Source organism: Homo sapiens, chromosome 10 (genome assembly GCF_000001405.40).
Source record: "Homo sapiens chromosome 10, GRCh38.p14 Primary Assembly".
Classification (NCBI taxonomy): domain Eukaryota; kingdom Metazoa; phylum Chordata; class Mammalia; order Primates; family Hominidae; genus Homo; species Homo sapiens.
In genome coordinates this window covers 9,685,045-9,702,771 of record NC_000010.11, presented here as the reverse complement: position 1 = coordinate 9,702,771, position 17,727 = coordinate 9,685,045, and the positions used below count along the sequence as shown (strand labels likewise).

The 17,727-nt window shown below is 36.2% G+C and overlaps 1 long non-coding RNA gene across 5 annotated transcripts in view; it reads left to right on the top strand.

Moving 5' to 3' along the window:
- LINC02663 (long intergenic non-protein coding RNA 2663) overlaps positions 1–17,727 on the top strand; it is a 434,814-nt gene that overhangs the window by 175,323 nt on the left and 241,764 nt on the right. The window lies entirely within an intron of this gene.

The following is a 17,727-nucleotide window of genomic DNA, read 5'->3' as shown; positions in this document are numbered from 1 at the left end:
TTTGAAACAAACAACTTTCCAAAACTGACACAAGAAAAAGTAGAATATTAAAAACCCTATATCTATTAAAATAATTAAATTTTAATTAAATGCCTCTTTGCAAAGAAAGCTTTAGGTCCAAATAAGTTTGCAAATGGTATCCAATATTTAAGAAATAAATAAACACAGCATTACTGTACTCTTAAACTATTTCAGAAAATAAAGGAAGAGGGAACACTTTAAATTTTAATTAAATGCCTCTTTGCAAAGAAAGCTTTAGGTCCACATAAGTTTGCAAATGGTATCCAATATTTAAGAAATAAATAAACACAGCATTACTGTACTCTTAAACTATTTCAGAAAATAAAGGAAGAGGGAACACTTTTCAGTACATTTTAAGAGGACAATGTTATTCTGGTGACAAATCTGACACACATATTTTAAGAAAGGAAAATTAAAGACAAATAACATTCAAGAAATGATCTGCAAAAATTCCAAATGAAGTAACAACAATAAAATCCAGCAGTAGAAACAATAGATCATATATATGCTTATATGTGATTTATTTTAGAAATAGAAGAAAGTTTAATATCAAAATTTAATCACTGTCATTAATAGAAAAAAGGAGAAAAATATGCGATGGTCTTAATTGATGCAGAAAGTGTATTTGATAAAATTTAACATCTATTTAACATGTATCATAAAAGTATGAAGCAAACTAGTAATAGAAGGAACGTTTTCCACTGATAAAACTGATGAAGTGGAAAAGTTTATCCACTGATAAAACTGATAAAGTGGAAAGTTTATCCACTGATAAAGTGCATGTATGAAAAAATGTGCAGCTGACATCACACATGGTGAAATACTGAACACTTTTACCCTAAGACTGGGAACAAAATAACGAAGAATCAGTTCTAAACCCATCTGTTCAATATAGTCCCTTGCTAGTGTAATAAACAAGGAAAAAAAAGCGCATAAAAATTTTACAGGAAAAGTCAAACTGTTTTTAGTCACACACGGCATGATTGATTCATGGAACATGTTAAGGAAATAACATACTAGTTCCAAACTGGAACCAAAATAATTGTTGAGTTGATAAAGGAATATATATCTTGCGTTTTGTTAGCTCTTCCATTGATTTTGGACTTTAATGAATGAGTTGGAGCTAGAAGACTAGAAAACATTGTAACTTAATTTATATGGAATGCTAGGAAACGTCCATCACCAGGTGTTAAGAGAGAGCTCTCCATGGAGTTCTGTATGTTTTGAATTGGCTTTTGTTCTGCACTGTCTTTTCGAGGATATTTATATAGACAATACCCTCGGCAGAGAATAGTGTTTCCCCTGGCAGGCAGAGGGCAGATTTATTACCTGATTGAAGTTTTGAAGATAACATGTCTAGAAGGCAAAAGTTGAGCAGGTTTGCTAGCAACCCCTGTTAAAGATCAGGGATTCCTAAACTTGGGGTTCTTCATCTGAGACCCAAATTCTTTGTGTGTGCAAGAATGCACCTGGGATCATACCCATGGGACTTGGAGATGGGAGAAGAGAAACTCATGCAAATGTGATACTTATGCTGCCTGTTCTTCCATGAGTAATAAAAGTCCTTTATTTGTCTTCTGTCAGCATTTTAAAAACTGTGGCAGCCTAATTTGTCAGCTGACATGAAGGGTAGGTTCTCAGATCATTCCAGTTCTTGATACCAAAGAAATAGATAAGCAATGGAATATTTATATAATAAAATGTTATTTGGCAATAAAAAAGAAACAAATACTGACACACCAACAACAAGGATGGCTCTAAAAAAAAACAGTACTCTGCAAAAGAAGTCAGACACAAACTCTATATACAGTAAAAGAAATTTATATTAATTGTACAGCTGATAAAACTATGATGATAGAAATCAGAACTTTCGTTGTTTAAAGTGTTGACACCTTTCTAATTGAAGCCACATGAAGAAAAACTTTCTGTAGTAATGACAATGTTTTCTATCTTGATTGATATGATAGCACATGTATATATTTGCTAAAACTCATTGAATTTTACACTTAGGATTTATGAATTTTATCTCAATGAAAATAAATATGAAAATATCTGGGGCCTATCTTCAATGTGAGGTGGAGAGCACACCTCATTTTTTTCACAGCTATGCCCCACTGTAGTGATGGGTTTTTGTTTTTACTTATCCTCTGACCTATGGAATTACAGAGCTTCTCTTCATTTATTTCACTAAGTTTATCAAACTTTTCTTTATTAGACCTTCAATTCCCCATTCCATGGAAATGTACATTCCCAAAGTTCAAGATCCTCAAAGCATTCATCTGTTCTAGGTGATAGCTGGCTAAACACATACTGCTTTGTGCCTAAGAATAGTTTATCTCAGATACTAATACTTGGGGTTTATAAGAGGGACTATGATGGTGCCATTTTATGAGGTCTACAAAGAAACAGGGATAGATTAGGATTCCCCAGGATTTGTTGTGGATTCAGGATACACTTTGAACTTAGCTGCTCAGGTACTTCATGTAACTCTTGTAACTTTCTAACATGCTCTGAAGAAGAGGAAGAGCTGAGGTACTGATAATGGAGATGTTTTTTAGAGGTCAGTCTAAACTTGAGTCCATTTATTAGAGTAGAAGTAGATACACTATACCAGATTATTATAACACAAAGTGGATGTTAGCATATCTTGAAGCACATTAACACAAAATATATTAGATTCCACTTCATCCGTGCTTTGATTTGAGACTACAGAGTAGAAGGGCCAAAAGGCACCTCACTTGGTTTTTGCCTCCTTGAATTCATGCAGAAAATATCAATAACAGCAATTTTATTTCCCAAAATAGCTGCATTCAATCGGAGTGCTCAAGGATGTTGATTCTAAGAACCTATTTTAAAAGCCTTCAGAGAATTAAATTATGTTTAAATGGATGAGTGTCATTTTTTCTGCCCTGGGCTTGCCCTTCTAACCCTGGTTAAGCTGCTTTCAAGAACCTGTGGGAGCTGCGGTCAAAAGTGGAGTGAGGCACTAATGATGTCGGGTCAGAACTTTCATTTTTATCCCAGATAAACTCAAGCCTCTGGTATTTTCTGGCTTCAAAAGCTCTTAGCACAACAGGAGTTCTTAACCTTATATGATGTAGGTTTTATTTTTAATCCTTGTCTTTCCTTGTTTGACAGGCAAAGGGACTGTGCCTGGGTCATTTTCTGTGACTTTCTTCTTCTTTCCTAAATGCCCAGCAATTGCCAGGTAACATTTACCAGGTCACTCTGACCTCTGTGTGCAAAATAGTTTTTCTCTAGTGTAGGTGGGAGGATGGAGCCAAGGGTGCTTGCTAACTATTGCCATGTTTTAAGCCACGTAGGTGGAAGATATGTTTTAAAGGTGAACTGAAGTTTAACTTCAAATTCTGTGGCTTAGGCGCATTCAGATTTGACATACCCTCTTGATGTAATATACTGTGCCCCAGAGATGAAGAAAAATGCTATTAGAGATATCCTCTTATGTTTTGCGTTAAAATAAATTTTCATAATGCATTACGTTGGCACCAACTGTTAACAATAATGGGAATACTAATAGACATAGCAAGTATACTTAGTAGTGTGTGGAAAATTGCCAGTCTGAGCCAGTAGCATCTCTGTATATAAATAACTGGTATTTTTTACTTCTATGTGTTTTCTCATCACTAGTCCTTTTTTTTTTTTTTTACAATGTATTCATATTAAGGGGAAACTTATCTACCATTTCAATTTCTATTAACTTTTGAAAGAATTACTTGTGGTGAGGTCAGAGTATTCCCCATAGAGAGATTGCTGGCTGACCCTCAAGTGGCTACCCCAAAATACGAATTTACCTGGGTGTAGGATCCATCCATCAGTATTAAGCATTAAAATTCTCCTCTTGACAGCCCAAAGAGATGATATTTATGTCATATAACTGGCTCATATTAGCCATAATCACTGTATTAATGAATAGTATTAAGTGTAATTAAGAAATACAAGCAATGATGTATTTCTTTGCATGACGAGTCACTTTCTTGACATAGTTGTGCATTCATGGAAACAACAATAAAAAATATAAAGTTGATTGGAAATAAACCAAAACAATGAGAGCTATTTAGATAACTAAAATGGGTAAAGTGCTTACATGTATAACATGGATAGACTTGATATACAATATATAACACTTGAAGGTTATGGGTCAATACTCTGTTGTTTGTGTAGTGGTTAGATAGATACCTGGAGTGTTTACCTCCAGCTTTGTCATTGTTTTCTAAATTCCCTTACCAATTATTTTCTTACAAGCACTTACCAATTATTTTTCTGCTTGATAATTATTTTTTTCTAATATATATAATAGTAATCATTGAAGGATTCAAATGAATAGTAAGGCTTAATAATCAAAGAGGTTTTTGAGACTATGTATCTATACTATGGGATATTAATTCATATTATAGTTTAATTTTTAGAAAACAACTATGTTTATCTTATCGTATAATTTATGAGTCTATTTGGGGACTCATATCCATGAGTCCATTTATTTTTCCATTTCTGACTTCCTTTCAGTTTCCATTCTACGTTTTTCTTGGGTATGTATTTGGATGTGTTATCATCTCTTCTTTCCCCAAGGATAATCTGCTTTCCATACCCCTGACTACTTGATCTAGAAATCTGAACTCCTGTCATACACAAACTTCTTAACCCAGAAACTTGTTCATTATTTGCAATATATTTCTTTCTCCACATACCTCCCTCTTATAAGGTACCGTCTCTTAGATTTCAAAAATGACTTACTTCATCTCTTCACTGCCAGTACCCTAGTATAGGACAGTGTCCTCTCTTATCTAGAGCACCGAAACTAACTCTGCATTAAATATGCTCATTGAAATACTACCTGTGCTTTTGTTTCCTGACTTTATATATTCATTTCTATGAGATGAAGTCCTAGAAGACAGATCTTCAGACATGGGACTCTGGATTATTTTGATCTAATAATGACACTTTTGCTGGTGGGAAAAATGGGATAACTGTATTAGCGCTGTCCATTAGTACCACAGATATATACATTATCATATATGTTTTCTTGGGATGAAGGACAGGTAGAGTTTTGAAAAGCCAATTAGCCACTTGATTTGACCATCATGATAGAAGTAATGACTACAAAAAGTCAGGAGTGGGATAACTACATCTTCCTGCACTTTAATCCCCAAATCTCCCTAAGCATCCCTTGCCAGCCAAAGTAACCTCTCCTTTTCTGGCTGAGGAGAAAGGCTTCCATGAACATTTTATAGTCATCTCTCCAAGTTAGCAGCATTTCAAGGGAAGGCCTGGTCACCTCAGGAACCACCTCCATCACTTCCATTGCCTCTAGATCCACTTCAAGTAAGATCCAAACATTCTCCAAGAGGATTAGTGCAACGTGCAACCCAGGAAGAGACGGCTTGTTTGCCAAAATAATTGCAATATTTGCTCATTTATATTATCTTAAAACTGAGAAATATATATGATAATCAATTCAAGTGTTAGGCAAAAATAGATGGATTTTAATATTAGATTATGCAAAAGTTGTCAAGGCATTTACCATGAATCTAATGTGTTGATTCAAGGAGTCAGGACTTATCTGAAGAGTTTCCATAGTTGATTGCCTGAAACCTGGATTCAACTGCATGTAATTTATTTTTAATTTTTAATACTTTAAATGTTTTGTACTTAATGATGTTTAGAAGCAAACATCTTCCCTGATGTAAAAGATAGAATACATAGTTTTAGGGGGGGATACAAATCTTGGAGTGGACTAATCTTGTTTGCCCTGCATCCCTTGTTGAGGGTCAGGAGGACACTCTTGACTAAAGTACCAATAAATTGATACATAACTTAGTGAAGAGATCACTAGCATCTTTGAGAAAGTCTTTGGTGATTTTCCTCTACATGCTGTGGATAATGTTAGAGTTGACGGAATTAACACAGGCTTCCTGTTTTCAGTTGAACTGGTAGCATCCTAGAGTGGCAAAGACCAGATGTGATTCACCAGAAACAAAATGGGTATAATTCCTGTCATAATCAACAGGGTTCAAATGCCAGACAAAATGTTTTTGTCTCCAGAAAGCTGATCTAATAATAAAATAGATGAGTAAACTAGTAAAGTGTTACTTTATCTATAAAAGCAGAAATGTGTAGGTCTGATGGACAGCTTCCTGATTCATCTGAAAGTAATTATTTTCATTTTAAGATACATCTTCTGGCTTAGAACCAGGCCCTGGTAGATGATGCTCGGTCATAGAATATGAAGTCTATTAGTTATCCATTTCTGCCGTAATGAATCACCACAAAGTTGGTGGCTTAAAACAACACAGGTTTATTATTCTACAGTTCTGAAGGTCAGACATCTGAGAAGGATCTCATGGACCTAAAATCAAGGTGTTAGCAGGGCTGCGTTCATTTCTGGAGGCTAGAGGGGAGAATCTCTTTCCTGCCTTTTCCGTCATCTAGAGTTCCCTCAGTATTCCTTGGCTTGTGGTCTTGCATCTCTCTGAACATTTTTCCCTAATCACATCTCCCCTGTCTACTTTTAAGGACCCTTTTGATGACATTTAGTCCACTTGAATAATCCAGGATAACCATCCTGTATCAAGGTTAATTGATAACCTTAATTCCATCTGCAAACTTAATTCCCGTTTGCTATAAACCACATATTCACAGGATCTTTGGATTAGGAAGTGGGTATATTGGAGGGGTAGGGTCCATTATTCTGCTACATCTAATGACTGTGAGACCTGAGCTGCCCATCATGAACTGTGTCTTCCCTAATCCTCCAAGCCATAAGGTTGGGTGTGTGCAGCAGCAAAACAGTATGGAGTTGAAGTGGCATCTGCCAGCGTAGGTCCCTGACCTGGTGGGTCCCTGACAAAAAATCATTTGCATGAGCAATTGGCTTAGATTTCTATGGCACCTACTCTTGTATCATTGCCTTTTCCCCTAAGCACACACCTGTGACCACACAAAATTCCCTATGAGTATGTGATGAAGGAAGGGAAATCTCAGGCATGGTTTATAAATGATATTAGCCCCATTGAGGATACTCACTGATTGTCTTCTGAGTAGGTAGTATTTTAAGCAATGCATTTGGTTTTTCACTGTCTGGACAGAGAGATGGCCAGTGGTATGGATGCATGCTAATTCATGGGCAGTACGACTGGTGAGCCAGATGATGAGGGACTGGTATGGAAGAGATTTAACAAGCAGGGCTGGGTAAGACTCATGTGGATAGACCTCATGGATTGAGCCTATAGTTTGAAGATATTTGTGTCCTATGAGAGTGCTCATCAATGTGTCCTCATTAGAGTAAATTCGTATTTTGGATAAGGCTTATTTTTCTTGTTCACAATGCTCTGTCAGCACCTCCTGTGTCTGGATATTTTGGGTGCTTCAGTCATCATGTTAGCTCATGCAACATCATTTTAGATTGAGTCACTTATTTCACAGTAATAATGTATCAAAAGGCTCACACCCATAGAATTCATTCATATTATACCCATCACCCAGAAGTAGCTGGCATGGTAGCATGTTTACATGACATAGTGAAGATCCAGTCACAGATACCATTTGGAAAACAATTCCCTTCAAGTTTGGTACATTAGTCTACAAGATGTAGATATGCTCTGAACTAAAGAGCAGTAAGTGATGCTGATTCTCCCACCGCCAGTATACTCAGATGCAGAAACCAACAGGTGAGTGTGAGAGTTACTTCTCTCACAATGGCAGTAGCTGAACTGTGGAATTCTTGTTTTTATCTCTAAAATTTAGGCATAAGTTTAAGGTTGTTTTTGCTCAGGGGAGAAATTCTTCCATCACAGGGACATAGGAATGTTTCCAATGAATTACAAGTTGAGAATGTGACTTGCTATTTGGGCTCATCATGCAATGGAAATAACAAAGAAGGGTTTTACTGTGCTTGGAGACGTGATTGGTCCCAGTATCCAAAGAGATATTTTCTGGTCTACCATTTACACAACAAAGATTACGTTCAAAACTGAAGGATTTTTCTTTGTGTCTCTTAACTTTTCCATGTACAAAAGTAAAAAATTAATGTAAAGAAAACCCCAACAGAGTAACCCAATAAAGGTGGAACACCTGAGGACTCAGACCTTTCAGGAATAAAGTTAGGTTCTCTCCATGTAAAGAGCTTCTTCTGCCAGCAGATGTGTGACCAAGGGTCTAAGAGTAAAGTTAAAATGAATGGGGTCTGTAAGAAGTAAATTAAAATCAACTATACCCTTGTGACCAGTTACAGAAGTTCAGTGTCTGGCAGACATACACGTTGCCTTCTTATGTTTACACTAATATTTGTCTCTCTCTCTTTTTTTAAACTTCTCCTTTCTCCTTTCAGTTTATATGAAGCATTGGTTGTAATAACTTTATCATTTTGTCTTTAGTCTTCAGCTTATAGATTATTCACGTGGAAATGTGACTTGTGGATTCCAGAGAGGTGTGAATAGGGGGTGTTATGATAATGTGTTTGTTGTATCTCAGAGTTGGAAGCAGAATGTTATTTTAATTGTTCAGAATTCAGATATAGGTAGAAGAATGTATGCAGATGCTGAGTAGCTAAAGATAGACTGTGCTTGTTTTTCTTATTCTAAGCCTCAAGTCTACTTTTCTACCCTCTGTTCTGTGATGTTTGTACTAAGAGTTTGAAAAGTGCATTTCTGAGACCATCATGTCAGCTGCTTTTTTATTAGGTTCTTCCTGACAAAATATGGATTTTCAGAAGAAAGGGGGGATGGATTTTTTCTATTCGTAGTTTTTGTCAGTGTATTAGTTATCTGTTGCTGCAAAACAAAATATCACAAACTTTGCAGCCTAAAACATTGTACTCGTTATCTCATAGTTTCTTCAAGGTCATAAATCCAAGAAAATCTAACTGGTTTCTCTTTAAGGCTGCAGTCAAGATGCCAGCTAGACCTGAGGCTCAATCAGGGAAAATTCTGTTTCCAAGCTTACTCCAGCTATTAGCAGAATTCATTTCCTTATATAGGTAGGATTCAAGCTAGGTTGCCTCTTCAAAGACAATAACAAATAAAGAGACAGTAAAGTAAGCCTGCTAATAAGGTGGAGGCTTATATAACATAACTTAATCATGAGAGTGGTATCACATCATCTTTGCCATTTTCTGTTTTCTTTTTTCTTTTTCTTTTTTTTTTTTTTTGAGACCAGGTCTCGCTCTGTCACCCAGGCTGCAGTGCAGTGGTGCGATCTCGGCTCACTGCAACCTCTGCCTCCCAGTTCAAGCGATTCTCCTGCCTCAGCCTCCTGAGTAGCTGGGATTACAGGCACCTACCAGCACACCCAGCTAATTTTTGTATTTTTAGTAGAGACAGGGTTTCACCTTGTTGGCCAGACTGGTCTTGAACTCCTGACCTCAGGTGATCCGCCCACATCGGCCTCCCAAAGTACTGGAATTCCAGGCATGAGCCACCACACCCGGCTGCCATTTTCTATTGGCTAGAATGAATTCACAGTTCCCACCTGTATTCAAGAGAAGATGTTTTCATTTATACCTTTAACCTCCAGGCAAGGGTTTTATTTGCTGTGTCAATAAAACTAAATTGTGGTGATTGGAAAGTGGGGATTCTACCTTACACTTTCAAATGCAGTTGAAAATAAGTCCTTTCTGATGTGTTCCTAGGTCAGCTGTGAAGTCTCTTCTCTAAAGTCTGAGCGAAAGCCTTGTAGATGCTGTGCTTCCAGGTTGTGTCTGTATCTTTCCCAATCCTTGTTCTGTGAAAACCAGGAGTGCACTTTCCATGTTGATTTTCCATCAGTGCCTAGCACAGGTTTGGACACATATATTTTCAACAGATAATTTTGTATAACTGCTTGAACAAATTTAATTTACAATTATAAAAGAACCAAAGGGTGGCGGTGGCGGGGGGGAAACAAGTCTGTGAAAAACAAAACCTTAAAAAAATTCGATACTGGGAAGGTAGTGGAAGATAGAGTTTATCATGTTTTGAGTGGGCAGTCTAAACTGAGTTCTGCAAAGATGTTGGGAAAATTGAAAAAGAAACAGTGAACAGAGGGGAGTTTGAGGAGTAAAGAAGAGAAGGCAGTTGTTATGCCCAAGTCAGGAAGCTGCTGCTGTCCCTGGAACCCGTGAGCCTGTGATAGTACTGCCACTATTCACATTATGGTCCTGCTGTTGGACTGACACTGGTGGCCCTATACTAGAAAATTAGAAGTCTGGGCCAGGTGCGGTGGCTCACGCCTGTAATCTCAGCCCTTTGGGAGGCCGAGGTGGGTGGATCACCTGAGGCCAGGAGTTCGAGACCAGCCTGACATGGCGAAACCCCATCTCTACTAAAAGACAAAAATTAGTTGGGTGTGGCTTTGTGCTCCAGTAGTCTCAGCTACTTGGGAGGCTGAGGCAGGAGAATCGCTTGAACCTGGGAGGTGGAGGTTGCAGTGAGCTGAGATCACACCACTGCACTCCAGCTTGTGCGACAAAGCGAGACTCCGTCTCAAAAAAAAAAAAAAAGGAAGTTTCTACTCACATTGTGCTGCCATACCTGCCATTAATGCTTCTGGGCTCTACACTACTTACAGGCATCCTCAGTTGCTATGACTGCTGCTACTTCTAGAAACTACTTTCAGGGAAATCTTAGCCTTCCCCTTCTTTCTGTCTCCCAATATCATTATTATATCTCATTGAAAGTCAGAAAATCGGTTTCAGGATTGAATCCTAGTGATACTCTGGAGAATATAAACTGGCGTGTTTGGTGCCGAGGGATATTAGACACACTCGATTACAAGTTCTTGACTGATACTCATCCTGGGGTGCGTAGGTATTGAGAACTAGTTGGATCTTACCATGGATTGAGTAGGACCCTTGAAAGATTTAATTCATCCTCGCTAGGGCTTGTAGAAGTAATTGTTCTGTCAAGAAGAGAGAAGGCATTCACTGTATTTTGAGTGTAAAAGAGTAAACACAGAATTAGAGACTGAAATGATTTGGGAAGTGTTGAAGGAGCAGAAGTCAAGGAAGCTGCCTCTACAGGTTGTGGAAGCCAGTGCTGCAGGGCAAGGGATCCACCAACCAGGAATTCAGCTGCAAACACTGAAACAGTTCGCAAAAGCATGCTGGGAAGTTGTTACAATTCTTAAAAAACAACATCGACAACAACAACAAAACAGAAACAAACCCTAGAAGTTCTCACTAACCGCCTCAGTCTGCAGCAGTTAGCAAGTGGCTTCCACGAGTGCATGGTCATGCTGTCGGGAATCTCAGTCTGCACACATCTGTCTGCAACAGCCTCCTGAGAATGATAGTTTCTGCTTCTTTTCCATCTTACTAATGTATACATTTTCCTCTCATTGACAAACTATCCCAGGAAAAGAATTCAAGAAAATATAGCTGCTGGCTTTTCCTGTGCCACACAGAAGAGACCTTATAAGGGAGATGGTAGTGTTGCATTGGCCAAAGACCCCCCTGCACAGGGCTGGAGGAGGGCCATACATACACATATGGATGTCTGTACTTAGGACTGGGTGTATAAGAGGTTACTTGCTTTGTGAATTTTCACCCTGGCCTTGACTACAGTGAATTTTTTTTATCTAAATCTGGTTCTTCTTGTCGAAGAATTCCCAAGCTGCTTCCATTTCCCACCTGAAGTGACTTGTTCTCAGGGATTAGGCATTACAATTATTATTGGGACTTTGAGGAGAAGATTAATCTACCAAGAAATAACTGAAGAAAGGTTTTCCAGCCAGTATTTTATTCTTTCTTAGAAAAGCCTGTGTAAAAGGCAAAAGTTATACACTAAGTATATTATATACATATAGTCTTTTTTGAAAGTGAAACTACTGTAAAGCTAAAGCTTAATTATAGTCAGCAACACCCCACAACTTTTGACAGAAATATTTAGTGTCTTGCTATGAAATTGGTAATTTTTGTACATCTAATTCATGTTTACTTGGCCAACTTATAGTTCTCTTTATGTGGAAGTGATCTTTTTCAAGTTTTGTTCCCATGCCCCGCCCCCCAGGAGACACACGTTAGTGACTAAAGATTTTCACACTAAGATACGTTTCAAAAGGCAACCATTATTATAAAGGGGATACCTCTATCAAAACCCGTGAACCTGTGATAGTAAGAAGATAGTATCTTCATGGCTATTTTATTGCTCACCTATAGCCATGATATTTTTCTTCTCTTTTTCTTTTCATCAGGTTAAATAAAAAAGAAATGAAAGAAGACTTGGAGATGTCCTCTTTTGAGTAGCCTTTTTTTAGCCTAGTTTTTATATCCGCAATAAAGGAATCTGTCCTAGTTTACATGTAAACAGAAGAAATATCTTTATTTTCTAAAGAAGATGGATTCTATTTTTTAACACAAACCCCATTGAAACCAATTAATACTGATATATGACCTACATAATAGATTCTGAACTCATTTTCCCCCTTTTCTAAAGCAACGCAGTTGTTCATGTAACTTTGTATAGATTCCATGGGCACTTTTCTAACTGTGTATGTATGACTTGAAATAGGTTTCCAAAAAGCTCTGTATCACGTATTTCCACAGTACTAAATATTTTTAAGAAATCGCGTCTCCCATGCTGCTAAACTCAATTTAGATATTTGGGCTGGCCATGTTTAAATATCTGTAGCCATATATGTTGACCCTGTGATAAGATTGCTAAGCACATGTTCCTTTAGAAAAATTGTGAAAGAAAAATGCCTTGATCTTTATCTGTTCCTCTGTCAGAAATCTGTACCCTTTGGTTTTGTTCTGGTCTTTGTATTCTCAGTTTTTTCCTGTTGAAGACTATTTCTCTGTGACCTTACTCTTGAGTGTCTACCATTGTGACACTGATGTGGATAAAGAATCGTCCCATTTAAGTGTTGTTCCACCTCTGCATCTTCAAAGAAAGACTTTTGAGAGTGAATTTCAGGAGCCGTACCCAATGGAAATAATCTCTGGAGGTGAAATTTCCAGCAACATGCTTAATGCTGGAAAAGATATTTTTGTCAGGGGAAACCTGTTTACAAATCAGACAGACACACATAAATAACTAGCCATGTTATCAATATAAACACTTTTGAAGCAATGATCAGCCCTTTCTATTTCTTCGAACACTCATCAGAGCAGAAATTTTGCAGTGTCACCTTGATGATCACATGATATTATTGAACTACAAGCATTTTAAATCTCAGGATAACTTCCAGAAATTTGGTGATTTCTTTGTAGGATCATATTGCCTGTAAAGACTGATCCAAGGGCTTTAGTTGATGAACTACGCCAATGTCTGTGTCTGTATATGTCTCTCTGTTCTTCTATCTATGTCTACCTCAATATTTGCTATGGGCATTTTTCTTTTCCTCCAATTGAATATCTGTATCTTTTTTGTGTGTGCAGGACATTACTGTGTAATCACCTCTCTAAGTGCTACGCCTAGAATGCATCCTTGGCATTTCCCTTTCCATAATACCTCATAGCTAACTAAATTCAAATTCCTTTGGAGTTTATCCCCCACATATAATAATATGCTATAATGAATGCCCATGAAACCTAACTTAAGAAATGAAACATTTGCATATTATGATGGGTTTCTTGTATATTCCTTCGCAATTGCATATTTCTCCCTCCCACATTCCCAAAGATAATATCTTCTTTGATTTCTTGTTGATCATTTTTATTGCATTCCTTTTTTCCTTTAAATATATGTGGGCATGTTTAAATATATGCATACATATGTATATATGCATATATTTAAACCCTCTACATAAGTGGAATTATACTGTGCTGTAAATTACTTTTTCCACTCAAAATTGTTTTTGTGCCAATTAAGATGTTTGGCAGATTTTGTTTTCCTAAATGGCTGTGACTGTCTTTTCCATCTTATGTGCTCTTCTTACCATGTGACTTTGATACTCCTCTTGAGAGATGTCTGGGGGTCCCCTCCTCCTGAATCTGGGTGGGGAACTTTGGATTGCTCTTACTAAAAGAGTACAGCAGAAATGATGCTTTGTGATTTCTGAAGTAAATCATTCTGCCCTCAATATTGGGATGGTTGCTTAAGGGAAACCAGCCACTGCGAAATGAGGAAACCAAAGTAGGTGGTGTGACAAGACTACATGAAGAGGCCTAATGGAGAGTAACCGAGGTATCAGCTGACAGCCAGCCTTGGTGGCCTTGTAAGTGAGCATGCCTGTGGATGATAATGGTCCCCAGCCCTCTAGTCTTCCAACTAAGGCATCAGACGAAGTAGAGAAGAGATCAACCATATCCCCCATGCTTTGTTTAAATTCTGACACATTAAAACCAAGAGCATGATAAATGGTTGTTTTACATCACTAAGTATTATAGAAATATGTTCTGAAACCATAGTAACTGGAAAAACATGTATCTTTCTAGTTTGTGATTGCTGTATGTTATAATGATTACTGTACATTATTAAAGTATTTCTATATATCACAGTTTATTAATTTATTCCCCTAGTTGGTGAACACCTAGTTTGTTTCACTCTTTTGCTATTATAGTTGAAGCTACTAATAACATCCCTTAAACACATCTCTAGTATTGGTTTGCAGGAGTTTCTCTGGTAGCATAGATTTAGGGGAAAAATTGCTTGGGCCACAAAATATGCATATCTTTAAACCATATTTAACTAAAAGATTATTGAGGTTGTACTAATTTATACTTCCACTGTAAGTATATGGGTTCTCATTTTTTCATAACTTAAATTTGTTAGTTTTCAGTCTTACTAACTCTTGCTTATGAAGGTGTATCACTGGCTTAAAATTCTCTAATTATTCTTGAGGTTAAACATTATTTTATGTGTTTATATGGTGGTGAATAACATGTAAATATTTTCCAATGGAAACCAATTAATAAATCACTTTGATAGACCAGATTTAATTACATGTTTTCTCTATATTAACTGCTTTGTATTGGCTAATTTTTAGTTTTGCTACAATTGATATTAATATTTAACCTCATAATTGAAATTGACTTAAAATGTTCCTTTCTGCTCATGGAATAAAACCTATATTAGTATCACAACATGTTTTATGGAAGACTCCCATTTTTATTTTTCATGAGATTGGCCTTATATTTTTTCTAATGTTGAGATGTTTAACTGAACTCACCTTTAAAATTTCTAGACCATTTGTCATTGGAATATGTTCAATTATAGATGCAAATAGTTTAACGATTACAGATCTATTTTCTTGTGTCAATTCAGTGTATTGTATTCAGTATATCATATAAAATAATTCATTTTATTTATATTCAGGTTTGTCTGGATGTCATTAATTTCTTTCTGTGGTGTTTCATAGTTTTCAGAGTACAAGTTTCTGCTTCTTTTATTACATCTTTTCCTAAATATTTAAGTTTTTGATGTTATTGTAAATGAAATTATTTTCTTACTATCATTTTCAGATTATTCATTGCTAGTATATGGAAATACTTTTGATTATTTTGTATATTGGCCTTGTGCCCTGCAACCTTGCTAAATTATCACCATATAATATTAGTGTATAGTAGTGGATTCCTTAAGATTTTCTGTATAAAATATCATGTTCTCTGCAAATGGAGATACTTTTAGTTTTAATTTTTCCAAGTTGGGTGAATTTTATTTATTTTTCTTTTCCAATAGTCCTGGCTAATACCTCCAGTAAAATATTGAAAATAAATGACAAGGGCATACATCCTTGTCTCGTGCCTGATTTAGGGGCAAAGCCTTAAGTCTTTCACCACCAAGTATGAAGTTCCACGTGGATTTGTTGTAGATGGAGTTTAAAATTTAAAAAAAAATCCATTTTATATTTAATTTGTTGAGATTATTTTTAATCATAAGGATATTGGATTTTTCAAGGTGCTTTTTCTGCATATATCAAGATGGATAATCATGTAGTTTTTGTCTCTAATTCTATTGATATGGTTTATTATGTTAATTGATTTTGGTTATTAAACCAACCTTGTGATCGTGGAAGAAATCTCAGTTGCTCATCATGTGTAATTCATCTTATATATATTTTTGCATTTAGTTTACTAGACTCTTGTTGAGGATTTTCCTACCTATATTCAAATGAAATACTGCTCTGTGGTTTCCTTTTCTTGTAAGGAGAAGGAAAAACAAGGGTGTACTGGTTTTGGTGCCAGGAAGTACTGGCCTTATAGAATAAATTGGGAAGTATTTCCTCTTCTAGTTTTTAGAAGAGTTTTTGAAGAATTGGTATTAATTATTCCTTAAATATTTCATAAAATTTTGAACATTCAGAGAAAAATAATAGACACTGGGGACTCCGAAAAGGGAGAGAGTAGAAGAGGGGTAAGGGTTGAAAAATTACCTATTGGGTACAACGTGGATATGATGTTCAGTATTTGGGTTGGAGCCCAAACCCCACGATTATGCAGTATGTCCATGTAAAAAAACTGCACAGTACTCCCGAATCTATTTTTTGAGTTTTTTTTGTTTGTTTGTTTTTTTAAATACAGTGTCTTGCTCTGTTGCTCAGGCTGGAGTGCAGTGGTTCAGTGTCTGCTGACTGTAGCCTCCACCTCCTGGATTCAAGCGATTCTCATGCCTCAGCTTCCCAAGTAGCTGGGATTACAGGCATGTGCCATCACATCCAGCTAATTTTTGTATTTTCAGTAGAGACGGGGTTTCACCGTATTGGCCAAGCTGGTCTTGAACTCTGGACCTCAAGCGATCCACCCTCCTCAGCCTCCATAGTGCGAGGATTACTGGCATGAGCCACCACACCCAGTCACCTCTGAATCTATTTTTTAAATATGTTGTACAATTTACCAGTGAGGTGATCTGGGCCTGAATTTTTCATTGTGAAAGTTTTAAAAATTACTGTTCAATCTTTCTTTGTGTTCAGATTTTCTATTTCATTTTGAGTTAGTAGTTTTTATTTCTATAATTTTCATCTTTTATTTCATTTCATGTCCATTGTATTCTCCTATGATCATTTATATTTTTGCATGGTCAGCAGTTACATTTTTTCTGTCATCTCTAATTCTAGTAGCTGAGCCTTTTATCCATCTTTATTGGACAATCTAGCTAAAGTTTTATGAATTTTGTTGACATTTTCACAGAATTATCTATTTTAGAGATAATTATAATCTAATCTACATAATCTAGAATCTTATAATCTAATATAGTGTTATTATTGATAGATTTGGATTTATATCTGTCATTTTATTCTGTTTTTTTTTTACATATTACATGTCTTTTTATGTTCCTCTGACTGCATTACTGGTTTTTTTGCATTAAGTGTAAATAACATTTTAATTTATAAACAATTTGTGCACTATATTTTTTAAAGTTTTCTTTTTCTAAGGTTCCTTCTCTTAGGACTTATTCTAGTTTCTTATCAATATCTACTTCAGAGTTACACCAACTTAATTCCAGTGAGGCCTATGAGCGTTATTTCTATTTTTTTTTAGCATTTTCTGTGCTATTTTTATGCATGCTACATCTATATATTATAAATAGAGTACATCATTGTAGTTTTACTTTAGATAATTATAGGTTTTTTAAAGATGTTGAGAGAAGAAAGGAGAGAAAGTATATATTTATAGAGTTTATATTAGAAAAATGTTACCAGTTCTGTGTATTTGTTCCTGTGAATTCTAGTTATATCATGTCATTTCTTTACTCAAATACAACTTTGCTCGTACCCAACTCCTTTGTTCTGTTATTGGCAAATGTATTAAATAGCTATAGATTATAGGCCCAGCAG